At 41.7% G+C, this 25,663-nt stretch overlaps 1 long non-coding RNA gene across 2 annotated transcripts in view, besides 2 other annotated features; it reads left to right on the top strand.

Annotated features, from left to right (window-relative positions):
• Window positions 1-24,966, top strand: part of LOC105376136 (uncharacterized) — a 30,466-nt gene extending 5,500 nt beyond the window's left edge. Inside the window, exon 3 of one of the 2 annotated variants that reach the window (XR_930101.4) lies at window positions 16,796-24,966. This is a non-coding gene — a long non-coding RNA (uncharacterized LOC105376136). The remainder of the gene's footprint in view (window positions 1-16,795) is intronic. The other variant, XR_930100.4, reaches the window with a different exon arrangement.
• Window positions 333-592: a silencer, noted in NCBI's record as "silent region_20005". NCBI's record gives its function as "represses an Ori minimal core promoter by ATAC-STARR-seq in GM12878 lymphoblastoid cells {active_cell/tissue: GM12878}" and the evidence as "EXISTENCE:reporter gene assay evidence [ECO:0000049][PMID:35858748]".
• Window positions 22,844-23,362: an enhancer, noted in NCBI's record as "H3K27ac-H3K4me1 hESC enhancer chr9:91896966-91897484 (GRCh37/hg19 assembly coordinates)". NCBI's record gives its function as "activates a minimal SCP1, AML or CMV promoter by ChIP-STARR-seq in primed H9 embryonic stem cells {active_cell/tissue: H9 hESC(primed)}" and the evidence as "EXISTENCE:reporter gene assay evidence [ECO:0000049][PMID:30033119]".
• Window positions 24,967-25,663: the final 697 nt, after the last annotated feature.

Raw genomic sequence — 25,663 nt, 5'->3', positions numbered from 1 at the left:
ATAAAATACTTTAGATTGAAAGTGCTTATAGAGTGCTGAACAGTAGAGATAAAAAATATATAACCACAGAAAGATTATAGTGCAATTTAGGAAGATCAAAGAGAAAGGAAAATTTTAAAAGCTTCCACGGAGAAATCGCAGATCACCTACAAAGCAGCAAGAATAGATTGACAATGGCAACCTCAAAAGCCTTACTGGATCCAAGAAGAAAATGGGTTACTGTTTAGAATGTATTGGATAAAAGAATAAAAATAAATTCACTACAACAATGCAAAATATATAAGAAGAAAGCAAAGTTTTACTGTTGTCTAAAAAAGCATAGATGCAAATAATGTTTATCGTTACCAGTTCAGAAACTAACGTGGCTAGTAGAGAGAGGCTAAGAGGGAAGTTAGTGCATGCTAAGGCACTTACCTTTGCAGCTGCTGATAAATTTAGGAAGTTGAAAGAGATTAGGAGTCCATTACCAGAACTATTGGCTACAGTCACTTTGTTTCTGTTACCATCTGCAGTAGCAAAATTAGATGCTTCAAGTACTGCATGCCTCCTTGGGGTACAACTGAAATTATTGCCACAAATACTTCCTATCCTAGTATGCATGCTCGTTTGCAAAGCAACTTGACTACTCTTTCCATAGATAAGCGAAGTGTATTTCTTCACCCTTGGTCTGGTTTTATGACTTGCTTTGGCCAGTGGAATGTGGCTGAAGTGATGTTACACCACTTCTGAGGTTAGTCTTTAAAAGACGTGTCAGTTTCTACGTTCCCTGTCTTGAAAGGCTGCCTGTGAATGTAATCATCAGCAAGACACATAGAACTAAGTTGCTAGGCCATCAATAGCACCAGCCGCTAAACATGTGCCTACTGTAAGAATTAGAGAAAGAGGAGAGAAACACAAAGGGTGGCTTGACAGTCAACAAGTTTATTTCAAACCTGGGAGAGACTTATGAACAAGTTAGGTCAGAAGCCGCACCCTCTTACAGACTAACAGTTTGTAAGGATTCAGGGTGGGAGAATTTATCAGAGGCTTGGACTGCTTCTGTGTCTCTTTGTTGTGCTTATCTGGGAGGGAGAGTTGTATTTCTGTTCCCATACATCTTTCTGCAGCTGCAGGTGTATCCCCCCACTGTCTACTTTTAGCTTCCCTATCTTAGTGCACCTGAAGGGAAAGGAATGTGCTTATTAAGGCCCACTGTTTTACTGGTGCCCATCGTATGAGGGTGAAGTTTGGCAGTTACCCAAGAGACTTTCCCCCAACCTCCTTCTGTGCCTGAGCTGTCTTATCTGTGTTTTACTGCCTGCTCTTTCTGGCTGCTTGTAGTTAGAAGTGATTTTCTTGAAATGAATGAGGCTAGAAAGGGAGCTGGAACTTAAAGTGGCAGTGTTTGTCCCTGATGGCAGTGCTCCTGCTCTATCATTCCAGACCCTATAGTTATAAAAGGACAAGGGGTGATGTGTTCTTTCTGGCCACTTCCTGCTGATGGTGTGGGCAGAGAGCTTTTTGGTCTTGGATTGACTGCAGGAGCAACACGGTCTGTAGATGTTTTTGGGTAGTTGTCTGTGAAATGGCCATGATTCTGTCGGTTAAAATATTTTGAAAAAGGTTAATTAGGCAGGGTAAAAACATTAGTCCTAGGCTTTTCAGCAGAGTTTTTTATTAGGCCCAATTAGTTGAGACAGAAGCAACATTTCTTTCCTAATGACAGGCAGAGGTGCATGTTTGGAAAGACCCATGCGTTATTTTTCACTAATAACTGTTATTCCTGCTATGAGGATAATAATTAAGCAAAATGCTACAGTAATTGAGATTCTTTGTCGGATATTCCACCCTGAGGGTGCTACAGTATATAGTCCTACTGCAAATAGTAGAGTGAGTAAAGCAATTCCCGCAAGGGTGGCATAGTAGTATAATTTCCATTAAAAAAGATTTTAATATTTGGCTTAAAAGGAGAGGTAGAAACGACAAGAAGTATTTGGTGAGGTAAGGATGAGACCGACTAAGATGAGTAGTTTTCACTTAGTTACTTATCTTTTATGATTTTCGGCTTAAGATTTCATTTTTTTTACGTTGATAGGATGTTTTTCTGGGCTGTTAGAGGTTGCTTTCTCAGCTCTTTAGGCTTTGACTTAAGTGCGATGTATCCAAGAGTTGATTTCTATAATGGATATAATTTAAACTGTGGAGAATAATAAAAATTGAAAAACATTAGGCAAGACTAGAATTTAAGAACAAGTGTGCTATAGTTTTCTAAACATAATTTTCACTCTTCAGTTTCCCATTTTTATTAAAAGACAAATCGTGGTAGGACTGGTTTGCTTTATTATACTTGGCTTTATTATTTGTATATAGTGCATCAAGAATAATTAATTGCTACATAGGCCTTTTAAATCGGCTTCGATGGAACTTTGTTTTTTTTTGTTTTTTTTTATTATTATTATACTTTATGTTTTAGGGTACATGTGCACAATGTGCAGGTTAGTTACATATGTATACATGTGCCATGCTGGTGTGCTGCACCCATTAACTCGTCATTTAGCATTAGGTATATCTCCTAAAGCTATCCCTCCCCCGTCCCCCAACCCCACAACAGTCCCCAGAGTGTGATGTTCCCCTTCCTGTGTCCATGTGTTCTCATTGTTCAGTTCCCACCTATGAGTGAGAATATGCAGTGTTTGGTTTTTTGTTCTTGTGATAGTTTACTGAGAATGATGATTTCCAATTTCATCCATGTCCCTACAAAGGACATGAACTCATCATTTTTTATGGCTGCATAGTATTCCATGGTGTATATGTGCCACATTTTCTTAATCCAGTCTATCATTGTTGGACATTTGGGTTGGTTCCAAGTCTTTGCTATTGTGAATAGTGCCCCAATAAACATACATGTGCATGTGTCTTTATAGCAGCATGATTTATAGTCCTTTGGGTATATACCCAGTAATGGGATGGCTGGGTCAAATGGTATTTCTAGTTCTAGATCCCTGAGGAATCGCCACACTGACTTCCACAATGGTTGAACTAGTTTACAGTTCCATCAACAGTGTAAAAGTGTTCCTATTTCTCCATATCCTCTCCAGCACCTGTTGTTTCCTGACGTTTTAATGATTGCCATTGGAACTTTGTTTTGTAAAAGAAATTTGAGATAAGACTTGTTAAAGCCAAGCCCAGTCATGGATTTGTACCATTAAATGCCTATGAGTTGGCATTTAATTCCTCTCCTCTTGAGGTTTTAAGATAACTTGGCGTTCCTGGCCTGTCAGAAAGTGACATTCTTTACTTACCACAGATCAGAAACCCTGTACAGGGACTGTGTACACAAAATATGAGGCCAGTTTCCAAGGGCTTTCTTGGCTTCATAAGTCAAGTTTGATTCCTTTAAGGAAAGTGCACCATTCCAGTCAAAGCCTTGGTAAAATAACCAGGTTTTCCAATTGTGTTCTGTTACAAAAGAAAATGCGCTGATGCAAACAACTATGTTGTTATAATTTAAGAATACGTATGACTAGTTTTCAAATTCTAGAGGAACTAGGCAGAGAGAAACAAACACACTTTAAATTCTATTTACAGGAGTATACTTAGTTGTTAAAGGCTGTAGGTAGCTTAAGACAAGTTTTCTTTGACTGTGAAAAATAAGATAAAGATTAGCAGTGTTCAAAGCAAAAGATAAAAAATTTGTTTTTGTTTTCTATTAGTTTAGTCCACTTTATTAACCTTTGTTTTGCTTGATATTTATAAACATTTTTGCTTTTCATGAGTCCTTTACATTTTGCTGTTGTTGCTGTTGTGAATAACCTGCATTTGAGAGCACTTGTTAAAGTTCCACAGCTTGAATATAAACCATGTTTTGAAGAGAATTAAAACAAAATAACAATTATCTATAAATAACAAGATGTTCAGTTTGGATACAGTTAGAAATGCAATTGACAACAAAATTTGGTAATTTTTGTGGTTTACAGTAACCCAACATAACAATTTTAATTGTGATTAATAGTACATATTTGGACAGGAGAACCTTAGACACCCCATACAGTTTTGTAACTTATGTTAATATTATTCCCTAAAATATAACCTATTAGACATTATTTTGGCAATCTCATGTTGCCAAATAATCCTGTTTACCTCTTTTTCAGATGGTTCAGGGGTCCTGCGCAGCACCCAAAAGCTAGGGGTTGGGAAAGACAACCTTGAGACTAAAGTTTGATTTTGGGAAGGCTGTTAAATATGTTTAAAATTTAAAACCCTTGATATTATGAAATAGAATTTTAGATTACCATAAGTTGTTTTTTGTTTGTTTGTTTGTTTTGTTTTGTTTTGTTTTGCCAAAATGATGAGTTAACAATCTGGAAAAGCAAAACCCATTTTTTAGCCTTTTGTATTATATGAAATTTCTGTTTAAAAGAGAAAGTTAAATTTTACCCTTGCATTAGTTTGCTATTAATGTTAACCCTAATTGTAATGAAACCTTATAGATAATTTTATTTAATTTTAACCAATTTGATTATGAAGTGAGATTTTTACATACCCGTTATAACCCTTGACAAGTTTTGCTAAATAGTAGATTAGCATTTTAAGAAAATCTTGTGGTGCCTTTATTTTAGTGTTCAATTTACAGAAAAAAAACCATATAATACCTGTCTTTTGAGTTTAGTTAATATGTTTACACACAGAGTTTTCTTTGCAGGATTAATTTTTACAATGTTTTTAAAATTAAACCTTTCACTTTATTTAATTTTATGACTTTTTATTCATAAGCAAAATGTACATTTTTATGCCTTCTTATAATTTTTAACTAAAAATACTTTTTACTGTTTTTATACACCTTGCACGCAAATCCCTGTTCAGCAGTTTTAATTACATTTTTTGTTGTTGTTGTTGTTGTTGTTGTTTTTTATTTGAGATGGAGTCTTGCTCTGTCGCCCAGGCTGGAGTGCAGTGGCATGATCTGGGCTCACTGCAAGCTCCGCCTCCCAGATTTACTCCATTCTCCTGTCTCAGCCTCCCAAGTAGCTGGGACTACAGGTGCCCGCCACCACGCCTGGCTAATTTTTTTGTATTTTTAGTAGAGACCGGGTTTCACCCTGTTAGCCAGGATGGTCTCAATCTCCTGACCTCATGATCTGCCCGTCTCGGCCTCCCAAAGTGCTGGGATTACAGGCGTGAGCCACCGCGCCCGGCCAATTACATGTTATAATGGTAACTTTTAGCAATTTTTAACTTTAATGTAAAACCTGTTTTTTTTTTATTTTCATTTTTTTGTCAATCACTTGAAACTAAAAACACTGACTCATTTTGTAATTTGGGGGAAGTAGCTCTCAAATATAATGCATTTTTTTTTCAATCCTAAATACGTGGGTAAAATCGGAAGGGGAGTGCTTAGGTAGAAATAAGTAACTACTGAACTGGTGGGAGCAAAGTTCAGCTGGGCAATACTTTTTTTTTGAGACGGAGTCCTGCTCTATCGCCCAGGCTGGAGTGCAGTGAGCGATCTTGGCTCACTGCAACCTCCACCTCCTGGGTTCAAGCAATTCCCTGCCTCAGCCTCCTGAGTAGCTGGGATTACAGGCGCCCACCACCATGCCTGGCTAATTTTTGTATTTTTAGTAGAGACGGGGGTTTCACCATCTTGGCCAGGCCGCTCTTGAACTCCTGACCTCGTGATCCACTCGCCTCGGCCTCCCAAAAGGCTGGGATTACAGGCGTGAGCCACTGCGCCCGGCCATTGGGCAGTACTCTTTATGACACTGACAAGTGAAGTCTTATTAGTTCCAAAAGTGCTGACTATTTTTGTAGTCACAGAGTAGTTGAAAGGCAAGGCTTACCCAGCTCCTGGCTCCCACATGAACATTATTTATTCAGTATGCCATATTTTCTTTTTTTTCTTTTCTTTTTTTTGAGACGGAGTCTTGCCCTGTCGCCCAGGCTGGAGTGCAGTGGCACAATCGCAGCTCACTGAAACCTCCGCCTTCTGAGTTCAAGCGATTCTGCTGCCTCAGCCTCCCAAGTAGCCAGGATTACAGGAGCCCGCCACTACACCCGGCTAATTTTTTGTATCTTTAGTAGAGGCAGGGTTTCACCAGGTTGGCCAGGCTGGTCTCTGACTCCTGACCCGTGATCCGCCCGCCTCTGCCTCCCAAAGTGCTGGGATTATAGGCATGAGTCACCGCACCTGGCCACCAGATTTTCTTAAGGAGCACTAGACACTCAAAATATTTTTACTGGTAGGAAATGAGATTTTCTAGATGTCTAAATTAACTGCCAGTTCTGGTTTATCTTAGGGACATGCTCATTCAAACAGTATTATCGCTCAGTTTAAATCCTAACTTTTGTTCCCTTATGATCTTGTTAAAGTGATGAATATGTTTTGTACAATGAAGACTTTCTTTTGCTTTTTTAGGCTAGAGCTTCAGCATGAGAATTATGCTTTGACACAGAAAATCAGGTCTAAAAAAATATAATAAAGCATTCTGTAAAGAAGGAGGCTCTACCTTACAACCCAAAGAGAAAAATGTGTGGCACTAAGGCCTGGTTCCTTCTTCCCTCATTGTTTTGTCATTTTTTCCCCCGACTTTGGGAACTAAAATCTCTTTGCTTAAATGCTGAATTCATAAATCGAAACAGACTCTTGGGTTTTGTTTTAAAGGCAAAGTAATAATACTTCTATGTATTTTATAGGGTTATATAGTATAATAACTCGAATCCATGGTTGGATCTGACTGAACCTACATAGATACTAATCCGAATGACTCATATATAGAAAATGTGCAATATTCTAAGTATAAAAAAATTAAACGGGAGTAGTTTGCTTTGTTTTACCGTATAAATGAAAATAACCTAGATGGTAAACTATTCAATTATCTGAGCAGAAATTATGAATGGAAGGTGTATTCCAGAGCTACATGACGGAGGGACATTTCAACTTGAACTCCCCAGTGGCAAAAGCAGTCTATAAACTAATGCTAGTATATGCACTACTAAAGTGCCAAGTTATGTAACATTTCCTAATCTAATTTTAAAAATGAAAGATTTTCTTTTTTCTTTTTTTTTTTTTTTTCACTGTGGAGGGCAATAACACTAAAATCTTCCCCATGGGTACAAGTGAATGATTTAGTTAGTACATTGACATGCTGAACTATTAGTGTTTCTGGGAAGCTGGATTTGATATAAACTTATTTTGAAAAACACGATTTATGAAATTTTATAATAAAATTATCAATAAAGACATTACATTTCCATAAACATTAAATGTGAATATCTGTTGTCATGATTTTAAATGTCAAAGAAAAACTTTTAAAAATTAATATAGTGGCCAGGCGTGATGGCTCACGCCTGTAAGCCCAGCACTTTGGGAGGCCGAGGTGGGCGGATCATGAGGTCAAGAAATCGAGACCATCCTGGCCAGCATGGTGAAACCCCGTCTCTATTAAAAATACAAAAATTAGCTGGGTGTGGTGGCGCATGCCTGTAGTCTCAGCTACCTGGGAGGCTGAAGCAGGAGAATTGCTTGAACCTGGGAGGCAGAGGTTGCAGTGAGCCGAGATTGTGCCACTGCACTCCAGCCTGGCGACAGAGCGAGACTCCGTCTCTAAATAAATAAACACATAAATAAATATTAATATAGTGATAATATACATGTCCTGTGTTTGCTATTAAATTTAAGGCCAAGAACAATGCCCAGATTGATCCCTTAAGTAATTAATTTTTGAACTGCAATACAGTTTAGTGTGTCTTTGGAAAACAATGTTAGAGCTGAAGAACATACCTAAGAATTAAAACTTAAACCATAAATAGTACTGGTATATCTAAGCACAGCTAACTGGGACATCTAGCAAAAGCACACACACATAATAAAACCCCACAATTTTGCTTCAATAGAAGAATAAAGTAAAATGGCAATATACACAGTATTACTTTGCTTAACATTTTCCTTAAAAATATTTGATTTAAGTGCTTATTTTTCTTGGGCCAGTTAATTAATTAGAGCTCTTTTTAATAGACATTGCACACATAAACACATATATAGCCACACAGACAACCAGCAGAAGATCCAGTAGTTATAAGATTTACATTTGCTAATTTCCTAATGGGATTATTGGCCTCCGGATGAGGCTCTTTAAGAACAGGGCTAGGAAAACAATTTTCAGGGCCTAATAAACAAGCATAGCTGGAAGACAAAGACAGATTTTGAGAGGTACTTATTCACCTTTAATTCCAGTGGCTCCATAAGGACAACAGAGATTTTTCCCAAAATGGGATTTGTGGAGCCTTTTCTGTTTTCCAAGGGAGTCCCAGGAGGGGTGGGGTTTAAAGTAGAAGAAAGCCTGAATATGGAGAACCTCTTGCCATTTGCCGTTTCTGGTGATAAAGTTGTTAAGGTCCCTGATAATTTGAAAGTTAAAGGTGCCGTATTTGGGCCATCGGCTGTTATTATCTAGTCTGTGTTGGGGCCAAGCCATGTTGCAGCAGAAAATTAAACACTTTGGCTTTAGGTTTCCACGTAAGCCAAGTCTGGAGAGGTTGCGAAGATGACAGTTCAGTGGGGAGGATGTAGGAATGTGGGATTGTTTGGCACCCATACGGACTGGTAAAAGGAAGCCAAGGGTGGTCTTTTTTCTAGGTGTCCCCAGACAAAAGACAGAGACCCAGAACCCTCTTTCTGAAAGAGGCCAGTTAAGCTGAGAAGGAACTGGGCATCCCCAAGATTTTCTCTAGCTTAGTCCCATTGGTCCTCCAAGGACCTGGATGGCAGGCCGGACTTTCTCTGGTACCAGGAGGAAGCCAGGAGAAGGCAGATCTTACCAGCTGGCTGAGTTCGTGTCCGATATTGGATATTCCAGTTGGAATTGGCAAAGGGCCTCCCAGACTGGAGCCATGTGAGGAAGAGAGAGAGAGAGAAAGAGAGAGAGAGAGGAAGAGGGGAGCAAGGGTTAGGGAGTGAATACCCGTTGCCGGTGGTTGGAGGTGGATTCTGAGACCTAAGGGTTTTGAGAGCCCTGGCCTTAGCCTAGCAGTCCCCTTCAGGTTAGTAGTCCTCACACAAATCGCTTGAAAAGTGAAGTGAGAGAAAAGACAGGGGCAGGTGGCCAGATACCCTCAGGATCCAGGAGTTAACTCAGGATGAGCTGCCATTGCTCACTGCTTCCTGGGTTGCAAGAGAGCCTCTGCCCCCAACACCTGCCCTTGGTTTCAGCACCAAATGTAAGAATTAAAGAAAGGGGAGAGAAACACGAAGGGTGGCTTGACAGTCAACAGGTTTATTTCAAACCTGGGAGAGACTTCTGACCAAGTTAGGTCAGAAGCCGCACTCTCTCTTTTTTTTTTTTTTTTTTTTGAGACGGAGTCTCGCTCTGTCGCCCAGGCTGGAGTGCAGTGGCGCGATCTCGGCTCACTGCAAGCTCCGCCTCCCGGGGTTCACGCCATTCTCCTGCCTCAGCCTCCTGAGTAGCTGGGACTACAGGTGCCCACCACCACGCCTGGCTAATTTTTTATATTTTTAGTAGAGACGGGGTTTCACCATGTTAGCCAGGATGGTCTCGATCTCCTGACCTCGTGATCCGCCAGCCTCGGCCTCCCAAAGTGCTGGGATTACAGGCGTGAGCCACCACGCCCGGCCAGAAGCCGCACTCTCTTACAGACTAAGAGTTTTTAAGAATTCAGGGTAGGAGAGTTTATCAGAGGGTTCGACTGCTTCTGTGTCTCTTTGTTGTGCTTATCTGGGAGGGAGAGCTGTGTGTCTGTTCCCTTACATCTTTCTGCAGCTGCAGGCATATCCCCCGAGTCTGCTTTTAGCTTTTCTATCTTAGTGCCCCTGAAGGGAAAGGAATGTGCTTGCTTATTAAGGCCCATTGTTTTACTGGTCCCCATTGTATGATGGTGAAGTTTGGCAGTTACCCAAGAGACTTTCCCCTCACCTCCCTCTGTGCCCGAGCTGTCTTATCTGTGTTTTACTGTCTGCTCTTTCTGTCTGCTTTAGTTAGAAGAGAAGTGATTTCCTTGAAATGCGTGAGGCTAGAAAGGGAGCTGGAACTTAAAGTGGCGGTGTTTGTCCCAGATGACGGTGCTCCTGCTCTATCACCTATAGCACTAAATTCAGCACCTAAAGAGACCAAAAAAAATGAGGATAGGAACTGCCCAAACACCCCTTGGAATCCTGAGGAAGAATAAATCATTGTTTTAAGTCGCTAATTTTGGGGGACAGTTTATTATGCACAATAGACAACTGATACATTCCCCTTTTACCTTTGTTCGTAATTCAAGTCTCATAGAAGTATATCTGATTGAGGAATATGTAATTACATCCAAAATCACAGTTACCATGAAATCCATGAAGTGCTTTGAGTTTTCCAACCTCTGAAGCATTGGAGGGGCATTAAAATAGACCATGAAGGAAATACATGAACTATATACTAATTTGAAAACCTAGGTAAGATAGATCTTTAAGCAAGCTGGTCTACATACTAGAAGAAGAGGGGGAAAAGTCCAACTCACAAAATGAGGCTAGCATAACCTTTACTCCAGAATCAGAGAGAGGAAATAGAACAAGAAAAGCAGAGTCATTATGATTTTAAAACACATATGTGAATTTCACTAACTAAACCCAACATTTTATTAAAAATGGCATCATCATTAAGTAGGGCTTTTCTCAAAAACTCAATGGCATGAATTTATGGCAGTGAGCCAAACTATCAATGTAATTCACACATTAATAGAAGAAAAAAGAAATATAATGTTAATATATGCAGAAAAAGCAACTGATGAAGCTGAACCCTGATTATAACAAAAATTATCAGAATAGAGGGAAATGTTCTTATTTGATAGAAGTTGCATAAAAAACCCTACAGCAAACATTAATGGAGAAACTTTAGGCACATCCCCTTTAAGACTGGAAATATTACAAAGATGCCCATTGTTACCACATACAAATATGATCATTTTCTTTGTATACCATGATGTGAAAAAAATTGCAATCACTGGTGTAAAGTATCTAAGACTTAACCTAGCAATGAATGCACGAGATCTTTATGAAGACAACAAAAGAGGCTCTATATAAATGTAGGAATATAACTCATTTATGGTACTGCCAGTGTAATATTTTAAGATGTCAGTACTCCCTACATTTACAAATTCATTGCAATCCCAATGAAAATTCCAGAGAGTTGTTTGAGAACATTGAAAAACATATTCTAAAATTTATATAGAGGAATAAAAAATGCTAAATCACAAATCCACAAATAGCTAAATCAATTTTGAAATGATTCTGAAATCTAGGAAAAACATATAAAACAATGCAACAGAATAAGAAATGTAGAAATAGATGCATGTGTATATGGGAAGTGGATATTTGATAAGAATGGTCCCAAATACCAGTGGAGAAAGTATATAATTGAGACAATTGAGGCATGTAGAAAATGTGAACAAAATTATAGGGCTAATAGATGAAAGTGTTGGAGAATATCTTTGTGACCTTTGGGTCACAAAAGGCAGAATGTCAGTAACCATTTGGCAAAAAAATTGATCAAATTTGACTACAAGAAAAGTAAGCATTTTGGTTTAATAGGGACACCTGAGGTCAGGTGCCTGATAAAAGATATTTACAAGGAACTCAAGTCAATACAGAATTAATATCAAAATTTGACCAAGAACTTTTACAAATGAGAAAAAATAGAAATACAGCAGAATTTTGGCAAAAGCTAATCCAACAGCATTTTGGCAAAAACTTTAATAGGCAATTCATAGAAGGGAAACATCTGAAAGGCTAGCAGTATATAAAAGTCATTTATGGGCAGGCACGGTGGCTCACACTTGTAATTCCAGTACTTTGGGAGGCCGAGGTGGGTGGATCACCTGAGGTCAGGAGTTTGAGACCAGCCTGGCCAACATGGTGAAACCCCATCTCTACTAAAAGTGCAAAAATTAGCCAGACATGGTGGCATGTGCCTGTAATCCCAGCTACTCTGGAGGCTGAGGCAGGAGAATCACTTGAACAGGGGAGGTGGAAGTTGCAGTGAGCCAAGACCATGCCACTGCACTCCAGCCTGGGCAACAGAGTGAGACTCCATCAAAAAAAAAAAAAAACTCATTTGTAATCAGAGAAAGACAAATTAAGACAACTATGAACTTCTTTACATCTATCAGAGTGGCAAAAATTAGAAAGTCAGATATTATCAAGTGTTGGTGAGAACAGCAGGGTACAGGAACCGTCATGTCAGAGGACAAGCTGATACATGCTTTCTGGAAGCAATCTGGCTATGCTTAGTGAAATTAAGTATGCATATTCCCTAGTACATAGCAACACCACTTGTGGTTCCATATTCCAGAAAGTAATTCACATAAATTTGTAAGGTTTATGTATCTATAGCTATGTAACCCTATCATTATGTGTCTCTCTATATAGCAAAATGATTTGACCTAGAAAGTCTTAAGCAAAAAAGTGAAAAATAGATTGAAATTTATAATTTAATACCATTTACATAAATAAAAGCAAACAGAATTTTTTTCACATAGAAAATATATGAAAAATAACATTATGTATTTACAGTTGTGATAAGGCCCATTAACAAATTAATTCTGCATCATCTGTATGACATCTTAATTGTAGAGACAAGGATTTTTTTTTTTTTTGGTTCCCATTAGTACTCCTTTAGCTGTGGGCCAAAGAAATGAACGAGTCACACTTAACATGTCAAATAAGCCTGGTGTGGTGGCTCAAACCTGTAATCCCAGTACTGTGAGAGGCTGAGGTGGGCGGATGGCTCAAGCCCAGGAGTCTGAGACTAGCTTGAGCAACATGGTGAAACCCTGTCTCTACTAAAAATACAAAAAAATTAGCCAGTGGGGTGGCTCATGCCTACAGTCCCAGCTACTCAGGAGGCTGAGGTGGGAGGATCACTTGAACCCGGGAAGTCGGGGCTGCAGTGAGCCGAGATCATGCCACTGCCCCCTAGCCTGGGCAACAGAGTAAGACCCTGCCTCAAAAAACAGAAACAAAACAAAACAAAAAAGGTCAAATGAAAACCAAAGGTTAAACTAATACACCATATGAAGGCTTTGAATTGTTAGAATCAAGTAGTAAAGGATTTAATATATCAAAGCGCCCATGGTTTTTAAGTGATCTTGACCTCAAAATGAGCCTCTCTCTTTAAGGGTCTTTATCATATTCATGCAGTCATGATTGATTTCAGTAAAACATCATCCATCCTATGTAATTCAACTTAATTTGTTTAGTTTGTTTTGAATTAAATTTTTATTGTTTTTAATTAAGGGACATATGCCTGATTAATTCTATTTCTGTATGTAAGTAACATAATAAAAATATCCAGCATAAAAATGTGAAGTTAACCCTGGGGATCTGAGAGATTTATATTCATTTAAAAGTACACACTTCTCAAGTTTGAAAATCTCCACAAGAATGTGCAGTACACCTCTTTGACTCTGGTGTGTGACATAGCACCTGGGACAGCATTCAAATTATAGTCTCTGTGGATAGTGTAGGCAGCACACAGCTTGCTGGGCTGTATGCAGAGGTGCTGACAGCATGTGATGGAACCTCACGCAACCAACTTCAAAAGGGAAACATTTCATTTAAAGTCCTAATAATCGCAGATTTATTTGGGTGACAAAGTGAAGTTTTAGATGAATGCAAACATTCTAGGTTGAGGAGCTGACCCCTTGGGATGACTTCATTTAATTAGATTATTTTCCTAATAGTCCACAGCTGAAATATATTGCCCTGTGGGAAGAGGTTCTGATTTGCCGGTGGAAATGAGGAGGTGGTAATTTTTGATGGTGGGACACTTGGAGGCAATGGACAGGCAGAGTAGGATGTGGGCAGGAAGAGGTCCCTAAGTTATGCCCAGAAGAAGTATTAAACTTTTGGACAGCTGAGAAAATGAAGAAGGACAGTGCTGAAAACAAACTTCGTTTAAGAAAAAAATTGCCTTTAACTGTCTTCACTTTCTCTTTATTCAATAGCCTTGTCTCCGCAGAACTTAGAGAGTACTGTTTTCTAATTCATTATTCTTGTGGACTAAAATCAAGGGTCCTTAACCTGTGATCCAAGGATCCCTTAAGGAGTTCATGGATAGAATCCAAGGAATCCATAACTTTGGATGGAAAAACATTTCCTGTAACTGAAGTTTAGCATTTTCTTCAATTGTGAATGTTGGGAACAAAATGCAGTAGTATTAGTTATATTATTACAGCTTTTGCAAAAATCCTGTGATATAATTCTCACTCCTCACTACTTCAGAATTATAGTAGTTACTAGACTTTTTGATAGCTCTTCTTATTTAATCTGTTCAAGAAGAATATATAATACTATGTCACACATATGGTTTAAAAAATCTTTTTTTCTTTTCTTTTGAGATGGAGTCTCATTTGTCACCCAGGCTGGAGAGCAGTGGTGCAATCTTGGCTCACTGCAACCTCTGCCTCCTGGGTTCAAGCGATTTTCCTGCTTCATCCTCCCAAGTAGCTGGGATTACAGGTGCACACCACCACGCCTAGCTAATTTTTTTGTATTTTTAGTAGAGATGGGGTTTTGCCATGTTGCCCAGGCTGGTCTCGAACTCCTGAGCTCAGGCAATCCACCCACCTCAGCCTCCCAAAGTGCTAGGATTACCGGCGTGAGCCACTGTGTCCAGCCTTGGTTTTTAAATATTTTGATAATTTTTGCCATAGACTGAATCATATCCTCCCAAATCCATATGTTGGTGTTCTAAACCCCAATGTGACTGTGTTTGGAGATAGGGCTTTTAAAGGTAATTAAGGTTAAATGAGGTCATAAGAGACCTTAATCCAATAGGATTAGTGGTTTTCTAAGAAAAGGATCTCCTCATTTCCCACCCCTTTTCCTTCTCTGCACTAGAAGCACTAAAGAAAGGCCATGTGAACACACAGCATGAAGGTGGCCTTCTGCAAGCCAGAGGCCTCACCAGGAACTAACTCTGTCAGCACCTTGATCTTAGATTCCCAGCTTCCAGCAGCATGAGAAAATAAATTTCTGTTGTTTAAGCCACCCAGTCTAAAGTATTTTGTTATGGCAGCCCAAGCTGCCATACAAGTGCATTTTCATACAATTGGTTTTGTTTTGAATATGCATTTTATTTTACATATTTAAAATACTGGTCTGAGAAGGGGTTCGTAGGCTTCAACAGACTGCCGGAGGAATGCATGGCATAGAAGTGGACAAGAACCCCTGGGCTCACTGGGTTCTCTGGGTGAGGCTGCTGTTTTCCTTGCTTTCATCTACTTTGGAGGCTGGAAATGAAACCACTCAACTCCCCAGCCTCTCTTGCAGTTAAAAACAGACTTGTGTCTGAGCTCTGGTCAGTGAGGGATAAGAGAGGCCTGATGAGATGTTCCATAGGAGGAATTTCCTTCTGGAATAGAATGAAAAAGTCTTTTGAGCATAGACATTTTTGCCTTTCTTTGCCTGTTTTTCTGCCTGGATCATGATGCAGTGTTTAGATGTGGAACAACAATTTTGCAATTCTGAGAGTTGCATGTCAAACACAGCAGCCTTGACAGCATGCTGGAGCTGATGCATCGGTCTTGGCTGACCACTTCTGGGTGTTCTGTCACATGAGGAAACTCAACACATTTGGCCAAGCCTCTGTAATTCTGTGTCTGTTATTTGAAGCTGAGAGTAATGCTAACTGATAATCCTAGCAAATTAAGACTCATGTCTAGCAGTGTTTCTCAGACTGGGATCCCTGGACACCCAGAGTCCATGAATGTGTTCTTGAGAATTTGAGAGCTCTCAAAGCATTCTTTCAGTGTTGCATGCTCATGTTGATGATAATCCAAAATATATACATAGAAATAAGAAAGAAAAAATAATATATACATATATACACATAGATTTGTCTGTTATAAACCCTAAAGTCTCTTAGTCTTATTTTATTTATTTATTTTTTTTTTGAGACAGAGTCTCGCTCTGTCACCCAGGCTGGAGTGCAATGGCAGGATCTCGGCTCACTGCAGCCTCCACCTCCTGGGCTCAAGTGATTCTCATGCCTCAGCCTCCTGAATAGCTGGGATTACAGGTGCATGCCACCATGCCCAACTAATTTTTTTGTATTTTTGGTAGAAACGGGTTTTCACCATGTTGGCCAGGCTGGTCTCGAACTCCTGATCTCAAGTGATCTACCCAAACAAAAGTGATCTACCCTACCAAAACAAAAGGGCCTTGGCCTCCCAAAATCCTGGGATTATAGGCGTGAGCCATGATGCCTGGCTAGCCTCTTAGTCTTAATAGGTGATATTTGCACTTATGAGACATTTTTATAGACTAAGACTTTAAGTCTGTGTTTTTCAAGTTGGATCTATTGTAGGGATGTGGGCATGCATTTATAGGCATCTTTGAGAAATTATTTTCATCCTAATAGTAGGGTCCCTATTTACTGAGTTGTAGAAAAACTGATTCATAACAAAATACCTGGGAAAAATTCAGTTTGAGTTCCAAACTAACAATTTAGAAATGAACTTCCAGAAAGCAATCCCATTCATCAATCAAGGACAGCTGTGGCAGAGTTAAGAGCATGGGTTTTGAAGTCCACAGATCTGGACCCAAGTGCTGACTTATGAGCACTTACTGGCTTGGTGGCCCTTGACATATTCTGGAAGTTTACGGACCTTCAGCGTCGTCATGTGGGATAATTGTCTTTACTTTACAGAGTTGTTGTAGCAATTAAGTGAAGTGATGAGTATCAAGCGCTTCACAGAGTACAGTACACAACAGGCATACGATAAATGCTGATTACCGTTCTGTTCTTTTGTTCTGTTTTGTTTTGTTTAGTTTTTGAGATGGAGTTTCACTCTTCTTGCCCAGGCTGGAGTGCAATGGTGCAATCTCGGCTCACCGCAACCTCTGCCTCTCAGGTTCAAGCAATTCTCCTGCCTCAGCCTCCCGACTAGCTGGGATTACAGGTATGTGCCACCACGCCCAGCTAATTTTGTATTTTTAGTAGAGATGGGATTTTTCCATGTTGGTAAGGCTGATGTTGAACTCCCAACCTCAGGTGATGCTGCCCTCCTTGGCCTTCCAAAGTGCTGGGATTATAGGCGTGAGCCACTGCGCCCGGCACGATTCCATTTTGATATCAAATACCTAGTGAAGAATCACTCAGATTACAATTGCTTTTTTTTTTTTTTTTTTTTTGAGATGGAGTCTCGCACTGTTGCCTGGGCTGGAGTGCAATGGTGGGATCTCAGCTCACTGCAACCTCCACCTCCCAGGTTCAATCAATTCTCCTGCCTCAGCCTCCCGAGTAACTGGGATTACAGGCACCTGCCACCACGCCCAGCTAATTTTTTGTATTTTTAGTAGACACAGGGTTTCACTATGTTGGCCAGGCTGGTCTCGAACACCTGGCCTCGTGATCCGCCTGCCTCAGCCTCCCAAAGTGCTAGGATTACAGGCATGAGCCACCGCGCTCGGTCTACAATCACGTTTTATTATTGGCTCGTCTAGTCATGGGATAGAGAAGGTAAATAGCAAAATAGAAAGAAAAGGGGGAAAAGGTAGAAGGCAAGGGGAAAACTATTGGTTTTAGATCTTTATCCTGGTCCTGTCAATGATCAGGTAATTGGAAGGATCAAAATTAGGCCAAACTTGGTAATTGGGCCAAAATTGAACCAAAGTTTGTGTCAAGAAGACCTGGGGCAGAGATATGTGACTAAATCATTTGGAATATGCCCAGACCCCAAGAATATTTATGCCCAACTTGAATGCTAACCAGAAGTCCCTTACTGTAGAAGATTGTAAGGTTGCTATTTTTTTGCCCCGACACCAAAATATTGATGTATTTTCCAACACCAATTCTCCAATTCTCTGACACCAACTCGATGTTCAACAATTCAGTTATATTCTGTCACTAATTCCTGCAGCTATCAGCAGGCCCCACAGGTAAAGGATTCAGTCTCACAAGATTGCCCCCCCACCCACTTCAGTTGCCAGCTACAATGGGGTGCTCAGACCATCCACACTTCTGCCTAGCTGACTGCAGATTTAGGGATTCCCATGACTCTTTTCTCAGTTTTGGTAATTTGCTAAAACTGCTCACAAAACTCAGGTAGACATTTTACTTAACATTTCCCAGTTTATTATAAAGGCTACAACTCAGAGACAGACAAATGAAAGCAATGCATAGAGCAGGGTATGTCGAGTAGTTGGTGGCACAGAACTTCCAGGCCCTCTCTAGGCATACCACCCTCGCGGCACCTCCGTGTGTTCACTGACCCCGAAACTCATTGCATACCATTCAGGAGGCTTTATAACCCATTTCCAGGCCCCTTCCATCCGTGGGAGGCCAGTGGGTGAGGCTAAGAGTTCCCACCCTCTTTAGTCTTTCTAGTGACCAGAGGCTAGTTAGAACCACCCTAAGTCACTGCAGTAACATAAACTCAGGTGTAGTACTAGATATGGTGGAAGATGGCATGTTATGAGTAAAAGCAGAAACTCCCCTCACTCAGGAAATTCCCAGGGTTTTAGGAGCCCTGTGCCAGGAATAGAGTACAAAAATCAAATAGGTTTGTGTATATCACAGAAATATTCCAGGTAAACTGGATGACTGTTTAGTCCATTTGTGCTGCTGGAATACAATACCCGAGACGGGGTAATCCATAAAGAATAGACATTTATTTCTCACAGTTTTGGAGGCTGTCTGATGGGGGCCTGGTCTCCGCTTACAAGATGGCACCTTGAACACTGCATCCTACAGAGGGAGGAACAGTTTTCTTCACATGGCCAAAGAATTGTTGGGGGTGGGGACCAAACTGGCCTTTGTATAATGAACCCACTCCCACAATAATGGTATTAACTCATTCACAAGGGCAGAGTCCTCTTGGCCCAATCACCACATAAAGGGGCTACCTCTTGGCTGGGCGAGGTGGCTCACGCCTGTAATCCCAGCAATTTGGGAGGCCAAGGTGGGCAGATCACGAGGTCAGGAGATTGAGACCATCCTGGCTAACACAGTGAAACCCCGTCTCTGCTAAAAATAGCAAAAAAAAAAAAAAAAAAGCCAGGCGTGGTGGCAGGCACGTGTAGTCCCAGCTACCTGGGAGGCTGAGGCAGGAGAATGGCGTAAACCTGGGAGGCGGAGCTTGCAGTGAGCCGAGATTGCGCCACTGCACTCCAGCCTGGGCGACAGAGCGAGACTCCGTCTCAAAAAAAAAACAAAAAACAAAACAACAACAAGAAAAGGGCCACCTTTTAATACTATTACAATGGCAGTAAGTTTCCAACACATAGGCTTGCAGGGAACACATTCAAACCATTGCAATGACCAAATTATAAGAAGATTCTTCTGCTTTCTTGGACTCAAAAACATGGACATTTATTTATAAATCACACCTGGCCATCACCGAGTCCCCAGTTTGCCAACAAGATAATTCAATCTGTAGCCCCCAACTTGGCATCACATCTCACCTCAGGATGCACTTGTGAGATGTTGTGTTGGGTTGTGCTCCACTGGGGAGCAGGGGGGTGCTCAATCTGAAGGCTCACAAGCAATGCACAACCATGTTTGGTTAGAAACCTCTTGGGAATATTTGTATGGAAAGAAGGTTCTAGATGTGTTTTGGCAAGGCAAGGGTTTTCCCAACTTCAGTCTTCACCCTGTGAGATTCTCGGGCTGCCAGTCCAGGGGTCTTTGTTCCTGGACCACAGGAGGTGATAATGCAAATTAGAATAAGAACAGCTGTTTGGTTTTTTTTGCAGGAAAGTGAATCTTGAGTAGAGACACCCAGAGATGGAAGGCAGATAGAATCACAGCAACCTTAGGTGACAGTATAAGAATTCTCGTTCCTGAGAATTTTGGGTTTCTGTGGCTCTCTCCCCTTGGCTTGATTGTTCAGATTGACCAACAATTTCATGAGTTACTTACTACTGCTCCAGTGAGTTTCTTTTGTGCTCCAGTTAGGCCAAGGTTAATACCTGCACCAAATAACCATAATTGATACTTTTTTCTGTTGTATTGAAGTTAATCATTTATATGTTAGTCTTAACATATAAGGTTGTGTATATCCTGAGGGCAAGATCAGGTCCTGTTCCTTTTTGTCTCTCCAGGGCCTGCACAATGCTTGGCTTGTAGAAGGTACTGAATAGCTCCTAATTGTATTAATGGATACGATTTTTCTTTGTCTGATCTTTGGCAAATTCATTTGTCTATTACTTAAGTGGATATCTCTGTCCCCACCTACACTTTTCCTTCTGGTGCTACTTGGGATCTTAAATAGCCACAGAAAACCAAGTGAGAAGAGTGAGTGTGCTCTGAGGATGGTTTTGAGGGACTCTTATGAGGATTATAGTAAAATAATTTTATGTTATTTATTCTCACTATCCAGATACCTTTTACTCTAAATTTCTGCCAGCATGCTGATTTGTTGAGATTTGCAACACTAGAATTTTCCAGCAGAGCAGAGTATTGCTAGAACTTGTATCTCAAGCTTCTCTAGAACTGGCAACCTCCTTGGAGTGGCTCTTGAAGGCAATGCCCTTTTCCCAGGTAGTGGCAATGGGAAATCACTTTTCTGAGTGTCGTGGACACAGGTGGGAAGCCTTCGATTTCAGCCTAGGGTCATCTCTTCTATTCCAGGAAATGTTGGCTGTTTTCCACTTAAACTTGTTCATGCTTTTCAGGTCCCAGCTGTAGTCTTCAGAGATATTTGAAAATTAGCTGGTCTAAAACATGATTCTGGCAACCAGTGAAATGATAAAGTAGAAACTATTTATAAAAACAATACTTAAATTACGTATTTCAAATATGTAAATTTATTTGCTCTTTTAAATTTTATTTGTCCTTAGTGCTTTTTAATCCAAATCCATTTTAAACTCCACTGTTATATTCCAACTTATGTAGCATTATTCTGTGCTGTAGTTACACATAATAAATTAGTTACTGTCAGTTTACTTCATTATGCTTTAGTGGTTTACTCTTTCTGAGAATTCAATGAAGGTTTACTTTCTAACAATACCTACTAAAATATTACCAAAGTGAAGAGTATCACCAAGGAGTAAGGAATAACAGAGCCACAGGCAGCTCCAAGTCCCGCTTGTAGAGCTCCAGTCTCGGAACGTGGGATTGCCAGACCTGCCAAGTGGCCCCTTCTGCGTCAGAGAAAAGCAGGCTCAAGGAAAAGGCAGACTTGAGGCCTAGCCTCTTAATGTCCATGTGAAAGCAAGAGGCCAGGTGAAGTTTTTGGAGAGGAGTGACTTGAGTACTATTTTATATGAAATGTTTACTCGGGAGACAGGTTTTTTTTCCCACGAGATGAGGTGAGGAAGGCGCTTTTGTATGAACTGAATTTCAAATCCTCAGGGCTCATGGATATTTTTCCATGGAAAAGGAGGTTGAGAAGGGAGTTCCCCATGGGTGCTACCAGGATGAAAATTTGCCTAGATGTCTTTAGCTGGGGAGAGGGAGTCTGAGAGTTAGTTACGCCCTGTGTGTGTGTGTGTGTGTGTGTGTGTGTGTGTGTGTGTGTATGTATGTGATGGAGTCTCACTCTTTGTCCAGGCTGGAGTGCAGCAGCGCAATCTCAGCTCACTGCAACCTCTGCCTCCTGGGTTCAAGTGATTCTCCCGCCTCAGCTTCCCAAGTAGCTGAGATTACAGGTGCCTGCCACAACACCCAGCTAATTTTTGTACTTTTAGTAGAGACAGGGTTTTGCTATATTGGCCAGGCTGGTCTCAAACTCCTGATGTCAAGTGGTCCACCTGCCTTGGCCTCCCAAACTGCTGGTGTGTCCGGAATTGGTGGGTTCTTGGTCTCACTGACTTCAAGAATGAAGCTGTGGACCCTCGTGGTGAGTGTTACAGCTCTTAAGGTGGCACGTCTGGAGTTTGTTCCTTCTGATGTTCGGATGTGTTCGGAGTTTGTTCCTTCTGGTGGGTTCGTGGTCTCGCTGGCTCAGGAGTGAAGCTGCAGACCTTCCAGGTGAGTGTTAACAGCTCTTAAGGCGGCACGTCTGGAGTTGTTCGTTCCTCCCGGTGGGCTCGTGGTCTCGCTGGCTTCAGGAGTGAAGCTGCAGACCTTGGCGGTGAGTGTTACAGCTCATAAAAGCAGTGTGGACCCAAAGAGTGAGCAGTAGCAAGATTTATTGCAAAGAGCGAAAGAACAAAGCTTCCACAGTGTGGAAGGGGACCCAAGTGGTTTGCTACTGCTGGCTCCCGCAGCCTGCTTTTATTCTCTTATCTGGCCCCACCCACATCCTGCTGATTGGTAGAGCCCAGTGGTCTGTTTTGACAGGGCACTGATTGGTGCGTTTACAATCCCTGAGCTAGACACAAAGGTTCTCCACCTCCCCACCGGATTAGCTAGATATAGAGTGTGGACACAAAGGGTCTCCAAGGCCCCACCAGAGTAGCTAGATACAGAGTGTCGATTGGTGCGTTCACAAACCCTGAGCTAGACACAGGGTGCTGATTGGTGTGTTTACAAACCTTGAGCTAGGTACAGAGTGCCGATTGGTGTATTTACAATCCCTGAGCTAGACAAAAGGTTCGCCACGTCCCCACCAGACTCAACCCAGCTGGCTTCACCCACTGGATCGCGCACTGGGGCTGCAGGTGAAGCTGCCTGCCAGTCCTGCGCCCTGCGCCCGCTCTCCTCAGCCCTTGGGTGGTCGATGGGACTGGGTGCCGTGGAGCAGGGGGCGGCACTTATCGGGGAGACTCGGGCCCCACAGGAGCCCATGGAGGGGGTGGGAGGCTCAGGCATGGCGGGCTGCAGGTCCGGAGCCCTGCCCCGCGGGAAGGCAGCTAAGGCCCGGTGAGAAATCGAGCGCAGCGCCGGTGGGCTGGCACTGCTGGGGACGCAGTACACCCTCCGCAGCCGCTGGCCCGGGTGCTAAGCCCCTCATTGCCCAGGGCCGGCAGGGGCGGCCGGCAGCTGCGAGTGCAGGGCCCGCCAAGACCACGCCCACCCGGAACTCCAGCTGGCCTGTGGCGCGCAGCCCCAGTTCCCACCCGCGCCTCTCCCTCCACACCTCCCTGCAAGCTGAGGGAGCGGGCTCCGGCCTTGGCCAGCCCAGAAAGGGACTCCCACAGTGCAGCAGTGGGCTGAAGTGCTCCTCAAGTGCCGCCAAAGTGGGAGCCCAGGCAGAAGAGGCGCCCAGAGCGAGAGAGGGCTGTGAGGACTGCCAGCACACTGTCACCTCTCACTGGGATTACAGGCGTGAGCCACTGCGCCTGATCAGTTATGCTGTAAAGATTGAGAAAGTCTTGACCTGTTTCATACTGCTATAACAAAATACCTGACACTGGGAAATCTATAAAGAACAGAAATTTATTGCAGTTCTGGAGGCTGGGGCATCCAAGATCAAGGCACCAGCATCTGATGAGAGCCTTGCTGCGTTCTCACGTGGCAGAAGATAGAAGGGCAAAAGGGCAAAAACTCTCCTCACATTGCAGAAGAGCAGAATAGAGAGAACGCACTTCTGCAAGTCCTTTTTAGAACCACATTAATCTGTTCATGAGGGCAGAGCCCTCATGACCTAAGCACCTCCCATTTAGGCTTCACCCGTCAACACTGCTGCACTGGGATTAATTTTCCAACTCCTGAATTTTGGCGGACACATTCACACCATAGCAAACGATCATGAAGCCTCAACCCTAGTATGTGCCAGAACCACCCAAAGGATTTGTTACAAATGCAGGTTCCTGGGGACCGCCCCCGAGGGATTCTGATTTAACAGAACCTGAAAACCCGCATTCTTAATAAGCACCCCATGTGATTTCGGGTTGTGGATGTTCACTGGATCACACTTTGAGAAATGTCATGACTGTGACTTTAACAGACTTAAGGTTTGTCCTCAAGATTTTGTCTTGCAAACCTTTTGTTAGCCTTGGAATATAGTCAACAGCGATCGAGAAGGGAAATGAGGAGATCCACAGGTTCCCTCTCCAACATTAATGTCCATGTCAACTAGTAAAGCTTTGCATACTGCCCCTGAACTCTTTGCCCTGATGCTGGTTCTTCCTGATTTCTGAGGACAGATGGAAATCCTGACAAAAGTGAGAATGAGGACTGGAAACAGCAGATAGGATGATATGCATTCCTGGTCACTACTTGTTGTCCTCCACAGCCCTTGGCCTCAGTGCTAGCTGTCTTCCTGCCAACAGGATGATACAACCAACAAGTAGAAATGCTTGCGTGGCCTCTAATGAATTTTCAACAACATGATACAGATCAAAAGCTCTTCTGTACACTGATCATGTGGGTGAGTTCAGATTACACGTGGTTGCATTTTAATTCACTAAATTGAAAATTACATTTTATCTTTTGAAATATTTGTTCCCTTCAGTGAGTCATTCTAATAAATGTAACCTGAAGGCCAACCGATCCTTTCCTAATTTAGACGACTTAGAAGGTTTAGCCAATGTTGTTAATGTACTTCTTTTGAGGCAGTGTTCCCTCCAAGTTCAAGGAGAAATGAAGAAAAATATATCTTTTGAAAATAAGGTCTGGGGCGCCGTGGCTCATGACTATAATCCCAGCACTTCAGGAGGTTGAGGTGAGAGGATAGTTTGAACTCAGAAGGTCAAAACCAGCCTGAGCAACATGGTGAAATCTTGTCTCTAATTAAAAAAAAAATTAGCCAGGCATGGTAGCATGCACCTGTAGTCTCAGCAACTTGGGAGGCTGAGGCGGGACAATCACTTGAGCTCAGGAGGTTGAGGCTGCAGTGAGCTATGATCATGCCACTGCACTCCAGCCTGAGCAACAGAGTGAGACTCTGTCTTAAAATAAAAAAATAAGAAAAAGAAAAGAAAACATAACACATTTTTTTAAAATCAGGAAGATGTAATGTAAAAGAAACACATCAATAAACTTATTTTAGGAATCAAAGTGACTTCAAGTGGGAAGTCTCTAACCCTACCAGCAATGAGTCATGTGTGCCATGTTTGTACCAGATTATTTCTTCAATGACATTTAAAATTAAAAGCATTACCTGTGAATACAATATGATCCTTTTTCTTTTTTTTTACAATATGCTTCATATATATTTTAAGTGCTAAGACAAATACAAATGTATATGCCAAGAAAAGTCAACTCTGCTAAAATAAATAATATTTTTTATAGAATGCTAAAGGATAATCTGCAAATTAAATTTTGTTATTCAGAGGAAGCTTTTATATTTTAAAAAAGTCATTTATTTTTCAAAATCATCCCAGAAAGCAATTCTAGATAACATATAAGGTGACCAGCCATTCTAGATTTGTCTGAGGGTAAAGGATTTCCTAGGATGGTGGCTTTTAATGGTAAAACAGTGACAGTCCCGGGCAAAATGAGCCAGTTTTTCACTCTACACTCAAATAAGAGCTGGGGTTGGAGGGTAGATGGGTGTAGGGCTCCCAATTCTTTTGCCTGTGGGCATCTGTAGCTTTCCCCGTGACTCACACCAGGAGCCTGTTATGGGGAAAACACTGTGTGTAAGACAGACCAGGGCTTGTCCACACTGAGCTTCCAGCTTCCCTTCCACTGGGTGGGTCAGATTCAACACGTAAGCAAATAGGATGATTTTGGGTGGAGATAAGTGGTGGGAAGAAAACCAAGCCTGATGATGTGACCAATTAACAGATGGGTGGGTGGGTGGGCATTGGTTCAGAGCAGGTGTCCAGAAAAGGCCCCACTGAGGAGTGGCCTTTGCCCTAACATTT

This window comes from Homo sapiens, chromosome 9 (assembly GCF_000001405.40).
Source record: "Homo sapiens chromosome 9, GRCh38.p14 Primary Assembly".
Taxonomy (NCBI): Eukaryota; Metazoa; Chordata; class Mammalia; order Primates; family Hominidae; genus Homo; species Homo sapiens.
The sequence above is the reverse complement of the archived record's forward strand: the minus strand, read 5'-3'. Positions and strand labels throughout refer to the sequence as shown.